General features: G+C 47.3%; 1 protein-coding gene and 1 long non-coding RNA gene across 4 annotated transcripts in view; one reads left to right on the forward strand and one right to left on the reverse strand.

Moving 5' to 3' along the window:
- The window catches only part of RGMA (repulsive guidance molecule BMP co-receptor a), a 53941-nt gene extending 39459 nt beyond the window's left edge, over positions 1 to 14482 (reverse strand). The window contains exon 1 of one of the 2 annotated variants that reach the window (NM_020211.3): positions 14190 to 14482. In NM_020211.3, coding sequence (NP_064596.2) covers positions 14190 to 14203 — 14 coding nt within the window. In that variant the 5' untranslated portion in view covers positions 14204 to 14482. Of the gene's footprint in view, positions 1 to 13551; positions 13795 to 14189 lie in introns of those variants that run through there. The other variant, NM_001166287.2, reaches the window with a different exon arrangement.
- Positions 14483 to 14484: 2 nt separating this feature from the next.
- LOC101927025 (uncharacterized) overlaps positions 14485 to 20910 on the forward strand; it is an 83190-nt gene continuing 76764 nt past the window's right edge. Inside the window, exon 1 of one of the 2 annotated variants that reach the window (XR_007064769.1) lies at positions 14485 to 14548. This is a non-coding gene — a long non-coding RNA (uncharacterized LOC101927025). Of the gene's footprint in view, positions 14549 to 14685; positions 14761 to 20910 lie in introns of those variants that run through there. The other variant, XR_243235.4, reaches the window with a different exon arrangement.

Here is a 20910-nt window from a genome sequence, read left to right on the forward strand (position 1 = left end):
GGGGCCCGACCCAACAATTTATTCTGCAGCATCACCGAACGGCAGCCCATTCCAGCGGCCACCGGGGCACGCTAAGCAGGCACTGTGCCAGGCTGCACAGAGGTGACCAAGTGGCCTTTCCACTAATTAACACCATTTGCTAGAGTCTGCCTTTCACGAGCTAGTTCTAGAGTCTCTCGCCAATGAGAAGGGATCACTGGCATTCCAAGTCACCTGGACAGTAATTAACCACCGTCACTGCTGCAGCATGTCCAGGTTGGAGACCAGGGCTCAGGATCCAGAGGAGGCCATGCAGCCCGCAGAAGCCCAGAAATCACGCCCTTCTGGGGCTGCCCTTGCCCAAGAATGGACTTTTCACAGCAGGACTTTTTTTTTTTTTTTCAATGAGAACAGAAAAAAGAAATCTTCAACTATGTTACAATTTAAAAGCAGGAAAAAAAAAAGGAGTTTCTCCCTCCCACGTCAGGAAATGTCATCCAATATTCTTAAAGAAAGGATAACTAAATAAAATACATGTGCAGCATATTCTGCAATTCCATTACATACAGTAGTTTTTTTTTCCAAAGCTATTTTAAGTATTGTTAATATAAAGCAGTTGCACAAAAAGCAAAGGTGCTTTGACAAACAGGTGTATGCACTGATTCCTTTTTAGGAACAGTATCTAAAAAGAACCCGTCGTCCACACTGCCCCAAAAAAGACAAAGATTCATACAGACACATTGGGATATATGTACAACATAATGAACCCCATCCTAAAGAAGCAACTGAGATAACCCCCAGAGAATACAGAATCAGAATTGTGAAAAATCATAGTGAAGTTTGCTTGCTGTAAAGCCTGAGAATTTTTTTTTTTTCAGTTGGTTCTTCTCGCAGCAGGACTTTTAACCTCTACATTTCAGTTTCTTCATCTGTAAGGATCGGGCTGATAATATTGTCACTCCAAGACTACAACTGAATAGAACTCGGAAGAGGCCCCAGGCCATGGGAGTTCCAGTGTCCCTGCCGGGAGACGGGTACTGGCTGCCTTTTTAGGAGGAGACCCCAGTCTTGCGACATGAGCAAATAATTTGGGAAAGGGGCACAAAAGGCTTTTTTTCCCCCCCTTTCTTGAGGAGAAATGTCTGAGGCTGAATTTGGACATCTTCAAAGTGGGGACTTGGCCATCACACAGTTTAGACTATCATGAGAAATCTAGCCCCAGCTAGAGCAGTATGGCGTTGTGTTGACCTTGAGGAATCTAGCTATACTGGCTAAACCAACCAACTTTTAAACAGCTCCCCAACTCTCTGCAGGAATAAAAAATTCCTAAAACGTTAGATTTGAGAACTCAGCACTCCGTTCGCCATAGAAACTCATTTAACTCAAAAGTGTAGTTGACTTCAAACAAACAGCCCCATAGAGTCTAACCAAGTATGTGGTGTCCCCTAGGCTACAGCTTAGACCTGGGGATAGAGACACTCTCATGCATGACTCTTGCCCCTTTTCTTCAGCACTGGCTGTGGAGGCCTCAATCCTGAGCATCCCCCTCCACCTTCTCTCCCTTTCCACTCTGGGGGTAGCTATTTGATGGGGGGAAAGGGGTCAAGGGGCTTCTGAAAGGAAGGGTTCTGCATACGGCTGAAGTCTTCTCAGGGGCAGTGATAGTCAGGGGTTCCAACTTTGCCTGCTTCTAGGTATGAACAGAGTGTTCTCAAATCTAGGGCCTGAGTCATCAGTCAACAAATATATATTCAGGACCTGCTGCAGGCTAGACCTTGGGGGATAAAGAAATAAGACAGTCCCTATTTCTGAATTGCTGGTAGAAACAGATAATAGAGAAAAATGAGTGCTAAAGGAGAGGTGAGGAGTGAATGACCTTTACCAAAAAAGGTGGTGTCTTTCAAAATAATGGCTAATATTTTGACGTATTTTTACATTGTGTCAGATGCCAGCTGAGTACTTTACATTTCTAGAAACTTTCAGCTAATGAAGATTCTATTACCATCCTCATTTTGCAGATGAAGAAACTGAGGCTGGGAACGCTTAAGTACGCACCCAATAAATGGCTAAAAAATGCCAAGCCAAGCTGGCCGAACCCCATGCTTGGCGTACTGTGTGTGCCATTCATTCCAATGGTGGTGAGCAAGTCCGCACCGGGCTTAAAGTCAAGGCGAGACAGATTACTTAACAATCACTTTCAATAAAGCATAACACAGACTCTGACAGGGGAGACACAGAACACAGGCGCCAGGGGGCTCCAGCCCAGCTTGGGGTGCAGGGAGGGGAAAGAAGCTTTCCCAGTGTAGGAGTATGCCAGGGGAAGTTGACGGGCAAGGGAGGGGATGGCAGGGAGAAAACTCCAGGCAGAAGGAACACCCAGCACGCCAGGAACAAAGTGTGCTTTACCTGAGGATCTGCAAAGGCTGAAGTGCGGCTGTAGAAGGAAGAGGTGAAGCTGGAGAAACAGAGCAAAGAGCTTGGGGGAGCCTGTGAAGCACCTGGGAGCCCAACCCAAAGCCTCAAGAAGGGGAGGGATTTATTCTTTTGGGAGACCACTGTGGGAGATGTAAAAAGATTAGAGTTGCCCAGGCCCTTCTCCAAAGCAGCTATATCTGAATCTCTGTGGGGTAGAGCCTGGGCATCAGCATTTTTAAGGAGCTCCCTTAGGCGATTCATGTCTAGGGGAATAGCTGGGTTTGTAAGTTCTATCAATCTCGGGCCCATGCCCTCCTTGCTGCTGGCAGGTGCACAGAAGACCCAGGTCTGTCAGTTTCTGCCCCTTGGGATTAAAGTCAAGCCAAGACAGATAACCTAACAATTACTTTCAATAAAATGGTGATTGCAAGTGACTCAAGCTGGACCAATCAGAATCTTTCTTGAGATTGTTGCTACAGAAGCTTCAGTTCTGGTCCGACTCCAACATAGGATCGGTTTAGGGCAGCAATCTTGTGCGAGGGTGAGTGTTTATGAGTGTTAGTAGTTGAGGCAGCATTTGAGGACGTGACATAGTGTGTGTGTGTGACAGCTGCCCTGTCGCCCAGGAGGCTGGAGCGCAATGGTGCGACCTCGGCTCACTGCAACCTCCGCCTCCTGGGTTCAAGCAATTCTTGTGTCTCAGCCTCCTGAGCTGCTGGGATTACAGGCACACGCCACCACACCCGGCTAATTTTTGTACTTTCAGTAGAGACAGGGTTTCACCATGTTAGCCAGGCTGGTCTCAAACTCCTGGGCTCAAGTGATCTGCCTGTCTCTGCCGCACAAAGTGCCGGGATTATAGGTATGAGCCGCTGTGCCCAGCTGACATCTTGTTTTTACTTAAGTTGTATTTTATCAGGTGAGCTTTTTGGGGAGTGATGAAGACTTTATTTAGGCTAAGCCTCCCCAAGCCACTCTTCAGCATATGACTCTCCTGCAGCTCTTCCTGAGCTCCTGTGAGCTACCCTAGTACCTCTTCCAGCTATGGAAGCTGAGAAAAATTCCTTATTTTGCTGAAACTAGCTTGATCTAGATTTCTCTAACAGATCCCTGTCTAATATGGAGGAAACGACCCAACACTGGTTCCAGGTATTTTTGCCAACCTCGCAAGCGTAGGGATATGTTACCAATGGCTCTTAATCCACCATTCACTTACTGACCAAGAATTTGACAACATTTCTTGAGTAACCACCCATTCCCCCATGTCCTGAAAAATGTTTGTCCAGACCATGTCTTGAGGAACTGAGTTGCTTCAATTTACAACTCAGAGTGTGAGAACGGATCCTTATTTTTAATTTATCCTTCAAATTCCTCTTTCAGACTTTAAGGGCCGTCCTGGGGTCTGGTCATCTCAGATTTGATGAATCAGTACTTGTTCTCTCTCTCCATAACCTTCAAGGTTTTATAGACTTTGATCATATCGCCTTTCTGGCTTCATCTTTCCACACTAAAACCCTTAAGGTACAAAGCAGCCCGGCCTCTTGCGAAGAACTTCAGGTGATGACATTGCTCACCTTCTGCAGTTCTGAGAGATTTTTCTCAAGGGGAAGAGAATACAACTGCCAGGTTTGGGTAGAGCCCAGGTAGAATACTATTTTTCGCTTGTTTTCCAATATCGTTTCTGACAGTATTTTAGCATTTTCTGAACACTTGGTCCTGAGTGGCCTGTAGCAAACAAACATTTTGCAAAGACCCCAAGGATCCTCCTTTGTGGCTATAAACAGACTGGACAAAGTCCATTTTCCTGTAATTTGGATTATGTTCTCATAAATGCATTAACAGACTTGCGCCTGCAAAAGCTTAATATGCATGTTCTTGCTAACTCCTAAGCTCATCCTGCAGTTAATCACCATTTGTTTGCCATCTCTGCATAGTCTTCATTTCATCCCAAAGCCTGGAACCATCTGAGCTTTCTCTTCTTCAGATAATCCATGTAAATTTAAACTAAGTCTGGATGCACCCACGTTCCTGGGGGATCCTCACTGTTAATAATTCTTCATCCAGAAAAGTACCTGTTTATCCTATTTTTTATTTCTTGTCTCTAAGGATAATTCTGATCCACGGCAATTTCCCCGCACATGCTGGAGAGACTTACTATTGTAAATGACCTTTGGGATGGAACTTTGTCAGAAGGAATTTTGAAAGTCTAAACAGAATTCATCCTGGGTTTCTCCCTCGTCTCCAGGCCTGTTTCTGACTCCTTAAAGAATGCTAATAGATTGGTTGGGTTTCATGTTCTTTTTAGAGAACACATTGTGCTTCGTTCAGCTAGTTAAGACTTTATAAAGTGTGCTTCATAATAATACTTTTTTAGTATATATTCTGCAAAAGTGGCTATTTAAAATGACCCTTCTGACCAGGTGCAGTGGCTCACACCTGTAATCCCGGCACTTTGGGAGGCCGAGGCGGGCCGATTACCTGAGGTCAGGAGTTTGAGACCAGCCTGGCCAATGTGGTGAAACCCCATTTTTACTAAAAATACAATAATTAGCCAGGCATGGCAGTGGGCACCTGTAACCCCAGCTACTTCGGAGGCTGAGGCAAGAGAATCACTTGAACCCAGTAGGCGGAGGTTGCAGTGAGCAGAGGTCCTGCCACTGCACTCCAGCATGGGCAACGGAGAGACTCTGTCTCAAAAAAAAAAGGACGCTTCTCAGGTAGGGTGGACTCCCCTTGTGGGCGGGAGGTACAGGGTGCATGCCTGTGGACACAGGTGCCACATGAAAGGACAGTTGTACATTTTGGCTACGAGGATGTTGCTGCCATCTTCATTATCTGAGGCTTCCTTTCTCTCTGTGTAAAGAATATCACCTGAGCTTTGATGCTCCTTCCCTCACCACCAGAGACTCTTATTCTTGGTAATTAAGACATAATTACCAAGAAGAAAAAACTACCAAAAATTTAAAAATTTTACCAAAATTAAAAGTTTTCATTTAAAAATTAAACTAAAATTTTTAATTAAAAAATTACCAAATATTGCCAAGTATTGGATTTTATTCCAAAATTTTAATGGGTTTTTAATTTTATTTTTTTGAGACAAAGTCTTGCTCTGTCGCCCAGGCTGGAGTAGCATGGCACAATCATGGCTCACTGCTGCCTCAACCTCCTGGGTTCAAGCGATCCTTCCTCCTCAGCCTCCCGAGTAGCTGGGACCACAGGTGCACACGCCACCACGCCTGGGTCATTCTTTGGTATTTTTTGTGGAGATGGGGTTTTTGGCACATTCACCCAAACTTACACTGCAGAAGGTAAGTAACCTGCTTGAGGTCACCCAGCAGGCTTGGTGACAGAGTGAGGTTTGGGCAGCTCTGGGTGACTCCCAGCTGCCAGGCCACCTCTGATGAGATCACAGCTGCTCCCCAGGCACGGGGCTTTTCGTTTTCTCTCTGCCTCTACTAACCCTACTCCATCCTCTTGCTCTGAACAGAAGCAACGACTCCCTCTGTGCTCCCTTTGACCTCTGCTGCCCCAGGCTCAGTTCAGGCTGGGCTGGGCTGGGGCCTTCCTGCTGGTTGGCCAGCAGTTTCCATGGCCACCCTTCCGTGGTATTTGGATGTATGACCCTCTTTCCTTCTTTCACACCTGTCCTTCTCGACTTCCCATATTCTCAGTAACCTCTTGGAGCAGCCGTGTTTCTTTTCTCCCTACTTCTCCCATTTCTTTTTACTGGGACTATAAACTGGGGTATAACTACACTTTCTTAATGAAAGTCTCCCCCCGACCACCGCTTTCTTCTTAAAACTCTTGTCTGAGACTTCCTATCACACCTACTATCTGGTCTCCAAGTTTGCAAATTCTTCTGCCTGCAAAACCCAGTACAAAAGCAATAGTATTTATGAATTGCTTAATTGTCAGTGTTGAGATGGAAAGCTTCAAGACACTGCCACTGAATATGGGGAAAGACAGAGACCTGGGATTTGGGGTGGTCCTAACTCCAGCTGTGTGGCACCACGCCCTGTCCTATCTTCAGCCCCTCAGCTTCTCAATCTGCAGAATCACAGCCTGGCTGCCCCAGGAGATCTCCAACCTCCAGAGTCCTGTTTCCAGGGATCCGGTGAATAGATACTGGCTCTGTAACTAACCAGCCTTGCCCACACCTGATTGTGGGGAGCCATTCTGAGGCCTCATCTGTAACACTTCTGCAGTCCCCAAGTTAAAATGTGGCCAAGCACGTAGGAAATGTCATTTGAAGAGTGACATTTCTTATGTTTTGATGTCACCATGAAATTCAGTAATAATGCCCAACAATACTATAGTATACCTGAAACCATACCTTAGAAACATTCAGCAACCGCCTGAAGTTTGAAAGCAGCTTTTGGGTATGCATACACAAGACACACCAGGTTCCCGTAAAAGAGAACAGACCACACAGCGCTTATGTCTCCCCATTCCGGTAAGTTCTTGGGAGAAGAACTGTCTTGGAACCATTTATCCACCAAATGGCAACTGTCTGAACCGACAGTGAGTCTGTCTCTCTCTCAACCAACAGAAGGCTGGAGTATTTGGATTAATGAATAATTTAGTGCCAAGCACAAATACCATAGACATTTAGCAATAAGAACAGATAACCAAGTTGTTCATCAAATTCAAAACTGTTTAGAATGGCTAAGCAAAGCTGAAATAGAGACAATCCCCAGCTGATGGGAGGTGGGGAAAAGTGCCAATCCAGAAAGAAGAACAAATGTGTCACCTTATGTGACATTCACTTCCACCATTGTTTTTCTTTCTTAAATTTGTCAAGGCTAAGGGAATTTCTTCACTTTTATATTACAGAGGCAATATAGCATGCTGGGCTAAGAACATGCAGTCCGAACACAGACTCTCTAGAGCTCAGTTATTTCATCCGTAAGATAGGGATATATTTGCAGATCTATCAAAAGATTGTTGTGAGGATTAAATGAGTCAATACAATCATAACCACTTAGAACAGATGCCTGGCATAGAGTAAGTCTTGATAAGTAGTTGCCAATATTCATTTTATATCATGGACAGGAACTATTGTTTGGACTACAATAGTGCCTACTATGTGCCAGATTCAGCTACAGCCTTTGTATGTACAGGATCTTGGGAGAGCTCTGCAGAGTTCTGCAAGGACTCACGGATAACCTTGACTTCTAGGTGGGTTTTAAGTTCATTTTCAGTTATACTTGAGGCCTGATGGGCACCTACTAGAAAAAACTCCCCCATGTAACCAGCGTCGTCATCTTAACTATGCCACGGGCACAGCCATTTCCATTTCACAAACGAGACAGACTCATTTCTAAGTCTTGTCTAAGGACCATAAATACAAGCAGCCGTGCAGAGGCTCAAACCCAGGTCTTGAGATGCCAAGTGCAGTGTTTTTCCCACCAAACTACAGCTGCTTCTCATCTTCACCCATGGTTTATTTATTTCTGTCAGTCCAATAATATGCCCCACATGTAGAATGACGGCTCATGCATTAGAAAGGGGAATATGTTTAGAGATATACTGTTTTCCAGACATTAACAAAAAATATAAAAACTTTTTAAGAAGAGAAAAATTTCCGTGAACAATCTCCCCCATCCATCCTAGAGACCAAAGAAATTGAAATAATTAGATTATGGAATTGTTTGTCTTTCTTTTGGATGGTAAGTGACATTCTGTAGATCACGTATTCATAGAGTACTTAGCCTTCGAATGTGAGTTAAATAGATTTACTTAAACAACAGGAAGATATTTAGGTAAACCTATCCACAGTATCAGTTCATTGGAGTTCTTTCAGTCCACAAGCCTCTCACAGCACATCTCAAGTTTTAAGCCAGATGGGCTTCAGCCTTTAGAGACTGGTCACTGACCCAGAAAGGGAGGGCCTGTGCGCCATCTTGGCTTGGGTTTGCCTTGCTCTTGTTGACTCCCGGCCGAGGCTCAGAGGGCCAGTATGTTCTCCACCAGGCCTGAAGTCAGGAGACCCTGCCAACAGCATCCATTTACTCATGAAGAAATCAGACACCTGGAGCTTAGGTATCTACTTGCTCAAAATGCTCCTTATCAGAGAAAAATAACAGCAATGTAAAACTCTCATAGCATGGAAGAAGGTGACATGTAGCTTTTTTTGTCATATGATCTTGGGATACCCAAAGACTCTACAAAACCAAAACCAAGTGTTTCAGGAAAGCAAGAGAAGCTTTTTTTATTTTTTTTGAGACAAAGTCTCACTCTATCATCCAGGCTGGAGTGTAATGGCATGATCATAGCTCACTGCAACCCCCGCTTCCAAGGTTCAAGCGATCTTCCCACCTCAGCCCCTCGAGCAGCTGGGACCACAGGTGCACACCACCATGCCCGGCTAATTTTTGTATTTTTTAGCAGAGACCGGGTTTCACCATGTTGGCCAGGCTGGTCTCGAACTCCTGAGATGAAGCAGTTAGCCAACCTCGGCCTCCCAAAGTGCTGGAATTATAAATGTGAGCCACCACGCCCAGCCAAGAGAAGCATTTTGAAATCAGTATTCTGAAATCTGAATGTCAGACTATTTTAGTTGCACTGACTGATATACAACAAAATAAATTAAACTCACAGGAGCCTCATGTTCAGAGGCAAAAATGACCTGCCCAAATTCAGCAGTGAGGGGTTATTAGCAGGGCTGGACCTGTGAGGGAATGCCATCATGAACTTCGTAACGTCTACAGGTGAGCCCAGCCTCTAAGCTTTGCTTCTCTTTTTGCTTTGCTTCTCTTTTTGCTTTGCTTCCCTTGTATCAATAAATGGGAGCCCACCTAGGAAAATGCAATTGCACAAAAGAATCTATTTATTATTTATACTTTACCTCTTTCCATAAAGGATATTAAACTAAAATGTAAATGAAAGCACATTAGACACCAAAACTTCCAAACAAATGTTAATTATTATTTTCAAGGTACTAATTATTTTGAGGAAACCCTGTAACTTTTTACGATTCTATGAATGAAATGGGCATTTTTGTGTGCTCTGACAACCAGAAAAAAACCTGCGTGGAAGAAGAGAGAGTTCCGTGGCTATGTTCCTGTAAGGGGAATCTATTCTTCAGGCTGCCACTGTCAGAGCTGAAAATGCACACTGGCAACACATTTCTAAGTCACTGAGAGGAACCCAGCATTTGCCCAGGAGACGTTTTTGAGCAAGCCTCTTTTGGATGAGCATTTGAACGGGCAGAATGGTATTCCGGCAAGGCATTCATCAGCAAGGTCTTCTATTCTTACAAGCTTATAAGTGGGTCAGACTTTGATGGAGAGAACCAAACTTTGTGAAAGCACCTCAAACGATCAGATGTCAAGGTTTTTTTGTTTTTTTGTTTTTTGTTTTTTTTTGAGATGGAGTCTGGCTGTGTTGCCCAGGCTGGAGTGCAGTGGTGTGATCTTGGTTCACGGCAACCTCCGCCTCCTGGGTTCAAGCGACTCTCCTCTCTCAGCCACCGGAGTAGCTGGGACTACAGTCATGTGCCGCCACACCCGGCCAGTTTTTACACTTCTAGTAGAGACGGCGTTTCACCATGTTGACCATGCTGGTCTCGAACCCCTGACCTCAAGTGATCTGCCCGCCTTGGCCTCCCAAAGTGCTGGGATTACAGGAGTGAACCACCGTGCCTGGCTATCTCAGGGTTTTTGAATAGACAATCTGGAGAGGAGAGACACATCATGGTGCAGATCAGTTGAGAAAAGTATAAAAGTCTAATAGGGGAGTGAATCCTAAAGAAGAGTATGCACTGTGGCTGACAATACTAGTAATGTGAGGGATGTGTAGGGGCCTTCAGGGGTAGGTATATGTACGTTGCATGCTTCCACCTAATCTTGTTTAAAGACATCAAGGAGAAAATTCTTCAAAATACCTACAAAGGATAAAAATGGGTTGCATCCATCTTCAAGAAGAAATGTACACTAAGAATAAAATAATGTTATCAAAACTCTTACTGAGAAATTAGGCAGAATATCTCTGTTTCACAAGGACAGAAGAATGGAATATTACCAGGAAACAGAGCAAACTGTTCCTGTCAGCCAGGGTGAGCTGCTCCAAAGACCCTGATCTTAAGAGTCCATGAAGATGAAAAAATGAAATATAAGGAGAAGCCACAACAGACGGTAACTACTAAAATGTCCTGCCAAGACAGAAGTCAATGAGTTTTGGGGCGTTTTTACTCATACCCGCTGATCTCTGTTTTGGCCCACAGAGGACACAGAACCTATGGGAATTGGCCTCCTTTGACCAGATAGTTGACAGAGTCTTTAAACCTTCTGCCTAATTTTCAGGCTCTGGGAAATCCAGTATTTTGCTTTCTGAAAGTTCTTCACCTCATAGCACTGCTTTAAACAAGCAACTGAAAAATGAGAAAAGTAAATCCAACCAGCAATTCTGTAGTCACTCTCTGCATAAACTGTTTGCTACACTTCCATTATTTACTGTGGTAATCTGGATATAATCATTTCGTAAGTTGGGTAGGTACATAGTACATTTTTATGTTAGTCAGTTACCAGTGACTTAAAACTTTTTATATGAGGTTATAAAAGACATTTGCATTTATTTTGTCAATTTCTGCCCTACTTTTAAAATTCCTTCTTCTTCCTGCCCTAAGAATTGTAAAGTTTCACACCTCACTAGGCATTCTTGCCTCCTGACCCCTGGGTTCTAACATGATACAGCACTTCTACTCACAGGACGGACCTGGCTAAGAAACTGGGTATCCTTTCAATAGAGTTCATTTGTTCATCTGTCACCAAGGAAACTGACTTCTGCCTGGCCTTGTATGCATACTTGGGTAAGGCAATCCTTAATTTTTTCCACTGCCCTATTCATTGCTCCTTTATAGCTCTGTTGCTAAGAGAAGAGAGGCTGAAACTGAGCAGTCATTTGCTCAAAATAAGAAAAAGAGGAGCCTGTCTTTTGGATAGGCTGGATACCAAACAGGTGGGGAAACCTGGAGCTTCCCTTCTTCAGGTTAAATTTATGTTCAGTTAAGTTTGTGGAATGGCTACATAATGGAAGCAAAGCCATTCCCTAAAAGAGCCACAGGAACACCACAGACACTTAAAAGTTAACTAAACTTACCTTTGGGATGTTATAAGTCAAGTTCTAGAATAATTACCTGTAAGGAGTAGTGTCATTTCGTTTCACAGAACTAACAGATTCCAATTTGCCTGCGCTGCTTTCAGATAATCCTTCTATGTTTTTGCTCAATTGCACTTGGATACTTCCTGCCTCTTTCCCTGGATGGCAGGCTTCTTGATGGATCGGTGACCGTGCCTTCTTTCATGTCTATACTGCATGCTTCAAGGCAGGAACAAATTTTGCAACCATACTTGGTAAAAACAAGCGCTAGAACTTAATTCATTTGGTAGCAAGGTTGTAGGGGGAAAAACGCACTTTAGACTCACAGAACACTGGCCATATCCCTTCTGCTTTCTGGCCATCAGTTTCTTCTGAGAAACTGAAAATACCAGCACCCATTCCTGCCTGCTTCCTGGGAGCAGCAAGCATCCCTGGAAGAATGGCTGAAAAACTCCCTGTCCCAGTGTCAGGGATGCTCAGTCCCTATTTATTTCATTTTGCAACTGCTCGTCTAAGAATTCTTGGGCTTGGCTTCTCACAGGGCTGCTGAAGAGCAAGGGATTGTATTAAAAAGGAGATTCTTGTGCCTTTATTGTCTATTATTACATACACTGGGAAGCAGCAAGTTATTCCTTGGAGGAGGTTTGTAAAAAGAGAAAGCAGGCAGAGGTTTCTTAGCAAAAGTCAAAGGTGCCCTCCTTGAATGAGATGCCAAGCTATTCTAAGACCTCGTCTGTCACAAGTCTCATGATGACATAAATACCTACCAATGGAGACACAGTTTGAGACAGCATGACGGGGCAGACCAGCCACCCACCATTTCATATGTCTATTGGAGAATGTAAGCAACTGTCTGACACCTGGGAGGGAAATAATGGAAGCAGGGTACTTGAAAAAAGGAGGCTAAGACCTCTTTCACTACCAGCACAGCCCAGAGAGTCTCAAGGGGGTACTACAGTAGACCACTACACTGCTCTACAAGGGGCCAGGGTGCCCTTCAGAACCGGGTGAGCCCAGCTCACTGCTAATATATTATCTGGCCTGGAAGGTGGCAGCAAAAACCAGCCACAGAGAACGTGGAGCCCGCCTGGATGTGTGGGTGCCCCACCCAGAGCCTTTGTCTGCAGAACTTGCCATCCAGCCACGTCTGCCCCAGTTGTTAATTGGAGATCATGTCCCTGTAAAGGGGGCTTGCTTGTCACTTGCTGTGGTAACAGCAAGAAACCCCTTCTTTGTATGTGCAAAAAAAAAAAAAAAAAAAACCACAAAACCCAGTTTGGGTACACTATTCTGTTCCTGCACAAATGGGCAGGAGGCCCTCTCCCAGTTCTCCTCCTGTTGCCCTTCGGAGCACAGTTACTCTCTTTTCTAGGGGTCATGGCTCAAAATCCACCCAAGAAATCACCCGTTTGTGATGCACAGGAGAAGACAGAGGTTTGTGCATTGGTTTTCAAGATCTCTGCACCAGATACCTGCGGAAGGGGCATCTTCTTACAGCAGTTAACATTTTATATTACGTTTTTGCTGGAAGAGTCTAAAACCAAACAGAGAAGGTGATGGAGCTCCTTTAGGTGACAGCATGCCACTCAACACGACCCGCAATTTCGTCCCCTGAGCTCAATGTGCTGAGCATGGGAGGTCGGGGTTCTCCCTGGTACCGTCGATACTCAGAGAGCTTCTGTAGCCTCCTTCCTGGAGGCGAGGGCTGGTTCCCGCCTCTCCACCTTGTGCGGGAGACTACTTTGAGAACACCCAACAACTTCGCAGCCTAAGAGGAATGCACAGCTCACCACTTCCGCTAGATGGCGCTACTTCCCCTACTCCGCCCGCGAGACACCCAATTTATAAAATAAATACAACCCAACACCTCCCAAAACCACACCACATAATAGCAGCTCACAGGCTCCCATTAGAAATCTCAATTTGGGAGAACTGATTCTACCTCCGAGCAAGTCTAATACAATTACATTAATAAGACGCAATCCCGAATTGCACCCGAGCGTCCCCCACACCCGCCCTCCCATTGAATACACCTGTCCCCCATGCCCGGGCTTGTACCCTGGGTTGAGCTGCGGCGCGAGCCGGCGCTGAATCGTCGCCGTGCCCTCCCGTCCACTTAGGAAAGCCGGGGCGGCTTGGCAATGGGCATCCTCGGCCCTCAATCCAAGGTCCGCACCTTCCCGTACGCCGGCGCGCCGAGGCAAAGGGCCGCCGGGACGCGAGCCCACGCGGTGCACTGCGCCGACATCCCCGAGGGCAGGAGATGGCCAGGCAGCTCCGCAGCCGGGCGTCGAGCGGGAGGCGGGGGCCCGGGCGGCGCGGGCCAATGGGGGTTCACGGCGGGACAGTCGGGTGGCCGGCTCCGTCCGGGGCTCCGCGAGCCGGGCTGAGGGAAGGAGCTCCCAGCCCGCACACGGTGTAAGGGACGTGTGCCGGGTCTGCCCAACCACGCGCGCTGGCGGCTGCCCGGGGGAGAGTATTTTAGGAAAAAAGAACAAACACCAAACCACAAAAACTTTCCTGCTGCCAACAGCTAAAGCGATAGAGGCGCAGCAAAGCTCCAAATGTGGGCAAGATGGGAGCAAGATGAGACGCGGGGCTAAGGAAGACCAAAGCAGCGCCGTGGCCCCGGCATGTGTCGGCGGCGCCTCGGAGATGTCAGAGCCGGGTCTGCCCGGCTCCCGACCCGCGCTTACCTTGGCGGCTGCATGAGCCCCTGCGGCCCGCGGGGGGTGGCGCTGGCGGGGCTGCGGGAGAAGAGGGGGTGTCGGGGCGCCGCTCGTCTGCCCCGGGGCAAGGTGGGAGGGGCTCCGCTGGCGCTGGTCCCCGCCGCCCCGGCCGGCTCAGCAGCGGCCCGGGGAGCGCCTCCTGCTCCCGGGCTGCATGCCTGCGAGCGCCTGGCGGAGCCGGCCCGGGAGCGAACGGCCAGTGCTTCCCCGGCCCAGCGGCTCGGGCGGCGCAGCCAGCGCTCGGGAGACAACTGCAGAGTGGGGCGGCCGGGACCAGCCCCCTCCCTCGCCCGGCCCCCGCCCGCCGCCGAGCGCGGCGTCGCGAGGTTCGTTTGCGCGCCGAGGGGAGGGGGCGGGCCGGGCGCCCGGGCCGCGGGCGGGGGGCGCGCGCGGGCGGGGCCGGCAGGGAGGGGCGGGGAGGAGCGGGGTGCGGGCTCGCGTTGCCCCGCCCCGCCGCGGCCCCACCCTCCCGCATCAGCACCGGCTGGGTGGGTGCGGAGTGCGCCAGCGGCCAAGTCAAGACTCCTTGAATGCTCAGGTTAGGGGGCGCGGGCGGCAAGTGCGGCGACTCCCCGGGGCGCCTCCAACTTTCCGAATCGCCCGCAGGGTTGCGGTGGAGCGCACGGTGTCCTTCAGTTAGGCGGTGGTCGAGGGGAGTTCCTCTGAGATTTCTGGAGAAGGCGGTTACATCCAAGACAAATGCTGTTGCGCTCTGCGGAGACGCACCTTTGTTCTATAGAGATTTTGTTGTTGTTTAAGAATCTTCCTGAAAAAACTAATACATATGTATTACATGCTAACACACGCATACATTCTTGCGTAGAATTGTACATAACTCAGGAGTGTCTAGAGTGAAAAGACCGTATCGCACTCCCTCCCACGGCCGCGGCTCTCCCACGGCCGCGGCTCCCCCGCGGTAACCTTCGGTCAGGGTGTGCTCTGCCGCGGTTCTTTCCAGTCTCTGCGCTTTTACATGCACACGCACAGATTGCGAGTGGAATCTCCTGGGCTTTTCAAAAGAATGTTTTCAACATTAAGCGCATGCACACAGTGGCTTGAACACGGCCACGTCGGGAGCAGTAAATCCCCAGAGGCTCCGGGAGCCCAGGGAAGGACCCTTGCTGTGAAACAGCAAAGAGCCACCCAATCGCCATGTGTGGATCTGAAACCCCAGCTGGAGCGTGAAGTCGGTCTGGTTACACAGCTCAGGCCCAAATTAGCACTGCACGGTTAGAGAGATTTGCCAGTACATTCTAGACAGGGTTATGACCTTCCCCTTCTTACAGAACAAACTGTCTTGAATTTTGATATGATGAGAACTCTGGATTTGCAAAATGAAAAGGTATCGTCCGCATTAAAACACGATCGTTATTTATGCGTGTGGTCTTCAGAGATGTGGTTTTAACTCAATATTCTCCGTTTTATTTGTCAAGTGTATTTGTATAATCTATAGCTGGGATATAAATAAAATTAAGTGGTTTAGCAGGAAGGGATTGGGGATGGGTTTCTAGAATTAGCTCTGACCTTCGGCAAGTCATCTAGCTCTGCTGGGCCTCAGTTTCCTCATCTATGAATAGTAGGGTGTGTGTGTGTGTGTGTGTGTGTGTGTGTGTGTGTGTGTGTGTGGTCTTCCTGCCCTGACATTCTGTGCCCTGACATTCAGTGAATAACCAATTTCTTCATCTTTCATAGCTCAGCTCCAACATCTTCCCCACCCTCTAGGGAGTCCTCACATCCGTGCCTTTCCTTCCTAACACTGAGCTCACTCGGTAATTAGGCGCTCATTAGAGTGACCTTTCCCTACATGTTGGCCTCTCCCACCGTACCATAAGCATCATGAGGGCAGGAACCAGGACTCCTTGGAGTCATCATTGCATTCCTAGCACTTAATATGGTGCCTGGCACACTACAAGAATCTCTGAATGACTGTCACGCAGATAGTAGATTTCTTACTGTTCTTCCAAATTGCCTGGCATTTTTAAAAGGTCTGTAAGTGGAAACGTGTCTTTTTAAAATGAGGCCTTTGGAAAGTAACCAGCAGGGTTTTCCCATGGTGGGGGACAAACAATCCACTGTCTAGATAAGGACAGACAATTCTCAGCTCAATCAAGGGCCGTGGAGGTAGCCGGTAACTATTTACCTTGATGAGTGCAGGCACCCGTGGAGAAGACAACGAATATTAATGCTACTCGTTAAGTACTTGGTTAAGTTAGAACCCTGCATAGGCAGTTGGAATACACAGAGTGCTCAGATTTAAATGAAGCCGTGAAGTGTGTTTAGGGTGCAAATTAAGAAATGGACATGCTTTCAACCAACAATCTAGAAACATTCCTAATATAAAGCTCCAGGGTATCCTTGGCTTTCTTTACTGCAAAGGGCCTGGATTCCTTAATATGAACAGGAAACAGGCTAACCTAGGTACAAGAGTTTAAAAAAAAGAAAAAAGGCCATTAAGAAACAAGGGGCGGGGTAAGTGAAAGTCTAAGTCAGTACAAGACTAATATCTATATTAGTTTCTTTTTTGTCTGATATGTAGATTTGCCGAGGGAGAGGTTAAAATCCGGCGTCACATTTATAGAGGAAAACTGGGGTTTCCACCCCTTCTTGGCCACTCTTCCTTTTCTTCCCTTTTGTGAGAGGGGATACATGCTTGCTGGGCGGTCGCCAGATCCACCTGGATGCCACCTGGTGTGAGAAAGCTCTCCTGGGATGCACCACACCCGGCGCAGGGAAAGCCTGTGCTACTGGGGTGCGGAGCAATTTGCTGTCTCTCTGTTGCCAGTGAGGGGTGGTGCCTACTGGGCAAGAGTGCGTCCTCGGAGCGTGGATTCATAGTGAAATTGACCAAGCAATGTGACAGTGAATTGGCCTTACTTTACTCAGGGTTGCCACTGGGGGCCATCCCTTTGGATTGGGTGCCCTGCCTATTACATTTTTCTAGAAAAATTCAGGTTCAAAAGTAAAAGGCACCTTAAAGAAAGAGCAAGTCAGCAACTGTCCTCGGAACCTACTGAGGAAGGACTGACTGACTCCCACCCTTGGCTTTAGTGAGCCAAGAACCGGGAGTAGGTGCTAGGACTTACTTGTTCTGCACAGACCAGAAGAAGCTGTGTTTCCTTCCAGCAGGGATGCCTCCCAGAGGCATTTGTGGCAAGCACTTCCTCCATGTCACGCACTGGGCTCGACGCTGCCGAGGGTGCTGACCTGAGGCACACAGCCCCTGTCCTTAGACGCTTGCAGTCTAGTGGGAGAAAGAAGGAGTAAATAGGCCTCGGTGGCTAGGGTTGAGGGGGCATTGCATAGCAGCTCCATTATCTGTCCTCATCAGCAACCCTCCGCGTAGAATTCTAATAAAACACAGCACTTGTGCAAATGCTACCTAAGGCCAGTCTCTGGCCTTTTCTTCCAGTCAGACTGCAGCTCAGAGGGTCCCAGAGACACTCTGGAGTTGACGCTGCAAGGTAGAAGCAAAGAAGAGACAAACGAAATCTAATGTGATGGGATTTAGGAGACGGATGGGATTATTTCTAGTTGGAAGGACTAGGAAAGTCTTTATGGACGAGGTGTCACTTGAGATGATCACTGATGGCCCATCTGATGGATCTGATTGTAGTGCGTGCTTGATAGGGAAGGAGGGAGAGCATCCTAGGCAGGGGAGTCACTTGCATAGGGGCACAGAGGTGGCAAAAGTTGGGCAAATTCAATAGGGAGTGTTGAGTCTGGTTGGAATGTGTGCACTGGAGAGATGAGGGAGGACAGGGTGTTGTGATTCTTATGGTTATGGGTTCTTTCTAATTTGGTCTTGAGGTCTGTCAAGAGTGGCCATAAGCCAAGACAGCCACTCTAGGAGAGCCCTGATTGGGAAAAGTTAGGTTTGGGTGTGTGGTTCAGGTGAGACGCAATGAGGAGGTGAATGTAAAATGCATGAAATAGAAGAAATATGTTACTTACAGATCCAGGAGAGGTTAGCGGTGCCAACGGGAGGCTGAAGAGGAAGTCTAGAGATTGCAGGGAGCTCAAACAGCTGGGAGAGGAGGGAATGAGAGAGAGACAGACAGACAGACAGACAGACAGGGAGAGATAGAGAGAACCTGCTGGCTGTGCCTTTATTAAGTTCTATGGGCATTATCCCTTAGGCTTTCCTGAGGGGGTTGTGGATTGGCTAGTTTTAAAAAAATGTGTGAAGGGGGCAACTTATTAGCATGACTCTGGCGTTGGCCATTAGGTTTTATTGTGAGCAGCAGCTGTGGGAGGTGTTGTGTTCTGGATTAATGAGATGAGGAACACACTGGCCATGTCACACACAGCCACACGAGGAGGAAACGTTTCCTCTAGGCCAAAGGTGGCGGGGTATGGCTGGGTTTCCAACAGCGTATGTCAGCCCTAAAAATGGGTGCTTGAGGCAGCACGTAGATTAAACGAATGTATGACTCTTCCTCTCATGGTGCTGGTGCCTTACGTCATTTTAAAAAACAGAAGCCAGGTGTAGTGTGAGTGGTGGAGATATTGACTGCAAGGGGAATGTGATCATTTAACCAGTGAATTAAACATTAGTGTAGGGCGGTTATGTTGTTGGAGATTATGAACTGATAATTTAGTAAAGTATATGTAAAGATTAGTGGTATTGTGTGTAACCAAGAGGAATGGTGGCTGTGGGTTGGAGATGCAAGGCAGGGAGTTGTGGTAGAAGGCTGGAAGTGGTTAGTAGGAGAGGGCAGCCAGGTGGTCTTCTCCTCGGGAGGTCAGAGGGTTGACTGATATGAGGCAGGTGCCTCCTGGGAAAAGTAATCATCTCTTTTACTTTTCATAACCATTGCCAGATTTGCCTTTAAAAATGGAAGTATGGGGGTGTACATTTGAGCAGAGAGCAAAGAAAATACCAGGATTGTGGGCCAAGCACACAGGAGTTCAGGAAGAAAAGCAAAGATGCTCTGTGTCCATCGTGTGCCTTAGAAGAGGCAATCCATTGGCAAGCACTGCCGGGTGGAGGTTTCACTGTAAGAGGCGAAGTCATGTCTGGTACAGGACGTGAGGTCATCTCCAGCATCGACTGAAGTCTTGGGTTGGAGCAATGTTATCTGAGGCACTGTCATTTCCAGCAGTTGGATTTTGGGCTAGGGTGATGTTGTCTGGGATATGGGACTGTGGTCTCTTTTTTGAGTGGGTGTCCCCTGGAATGGATGCTGTAGACCTCCGGACTGTAAACCAGTGAAAGTATCCAAAGCAGTAGTAATAAGATCAGCAGTCAACAGACGTGGGCAGCTCTCCCTGGCAGGGCTTCTGTTTGGTTTGGTTTTGGTGGAAGTTTAATTTTAAGTGGGTTCTGTATCAGATGAGCAGCTGCCTGCCTGTTGGTCCACAGTTAATGAGTTCTAGGAGAGCATGTTCCCTCAATCTTATGGGATGGGGGTAAGATGGAAGATAGAAGATTTATAAAAAGTAGGTTAACGCCTGGGGCAAGATAGAGAATTTTAGTGATTTATGTGTTGGACTGGAATTGGAAAAGAGGTTATTTGAAAACATCACTGTGTCTTGGAGTTAAACTGGTTATCAGGGACCTGTCAGGGGCATGAAAGTTCTAGTGAATGCCTTTCTCAAGAGCCCAGCATCATGGTGTATTCTAAGAAGTAAAATGTGTTTTGGTTACTACCAGTGATGTCTGTAACTTTGAAGGGAATTAAAAGTGTTCTGGAAAGGCCTTATAGTGTGGCCTTAGAATGTGGGGAAATGTGTGATTTTGATGTCTTTTGGGTATCTGTGAGGCAACAATATCCCAGAGCTCTTTACCTTGAAGGGGACAATTTCTAGAGAATGACCTGATTGTTTCTAATCAATTTGACCATTTGTTGGCCAGGGCATCCAGGGCCAAGATGACTCCCTGAAGCTTGGCCAAGTCTGTTTCTTGGGTCCCATCCTTTATCAGGGACATCTTAGCTAAGGGATGGGAGGCGGTAACATTCCACCAAGTTCCACCACATAGGATGGTCAGCAGTGCCATCTGTACAGTCTACAAACTCCCATTACTGTTCACTCAGGGAATCTCATGAGCTTTCAGGTAGCCAAGGGCTCTGTAAAAGGGGTGAGCTCTTCCAACACTCTGGCATATGAAAAGGGGCTGAGAACAAGGAAGGCACCCCCTCCTGTAGGTGGAATATGCCAGGGGGCCCAGGTTTTGATCCATCCTGTCTTAGGGAGGCCATTATAGCTGTGCTGAGCTGGTGGGGGTACAGGTTCCATGACCCACAGCATAACAGGAAGTTGGGAATGCAGAGTCACAGGCTCAGGGACTGTGAGAGCCTCTGTTTGCAGGAGAACCCAGAGGGTAGCCAGCAGTTGGCTGTTTTAGTGGAATGTAGGACAAGGCCAAGAGGGGCAATTTTTGCTATCAGAAGTTGTGGGGCAACCAATGGCCATCATAAGTGGTCCGTAGACACCATGAGGCATGAGAAGAGGTTGCCAAAGCCTTTTATTTTTTATTTTATTATTATTATTTTTTGAGACAGAGTCTCACTCTGTCACCCAGGCTGGAGTGTAGTGGCGCAGTCTCAGCTCACTGCAACCTCTGCCTCCTGAGTTCAAGCGATTCTCCTGCCTCAGCTTCCCCAGTAGCTGGGATTACACGTGTCTGCCACCATGCCTGGCTAATTTTTTTTTTTTTTTGTATTTTTAGTAGAGATGGGGTTTCATC

The sequence above is a fragment of the Homo sapiens genome, chromosome 15 (genome assembly GCF_000001405.40).
Source record: "Homo sapiens chromosome 15, GRCh38.p14 Primary Assembly".
Lineage (NCBI taxonomy): Eukaryota > Metazoa > Chordata > Mammalia > Primates > Hominidae > Homo > Homo sapiens.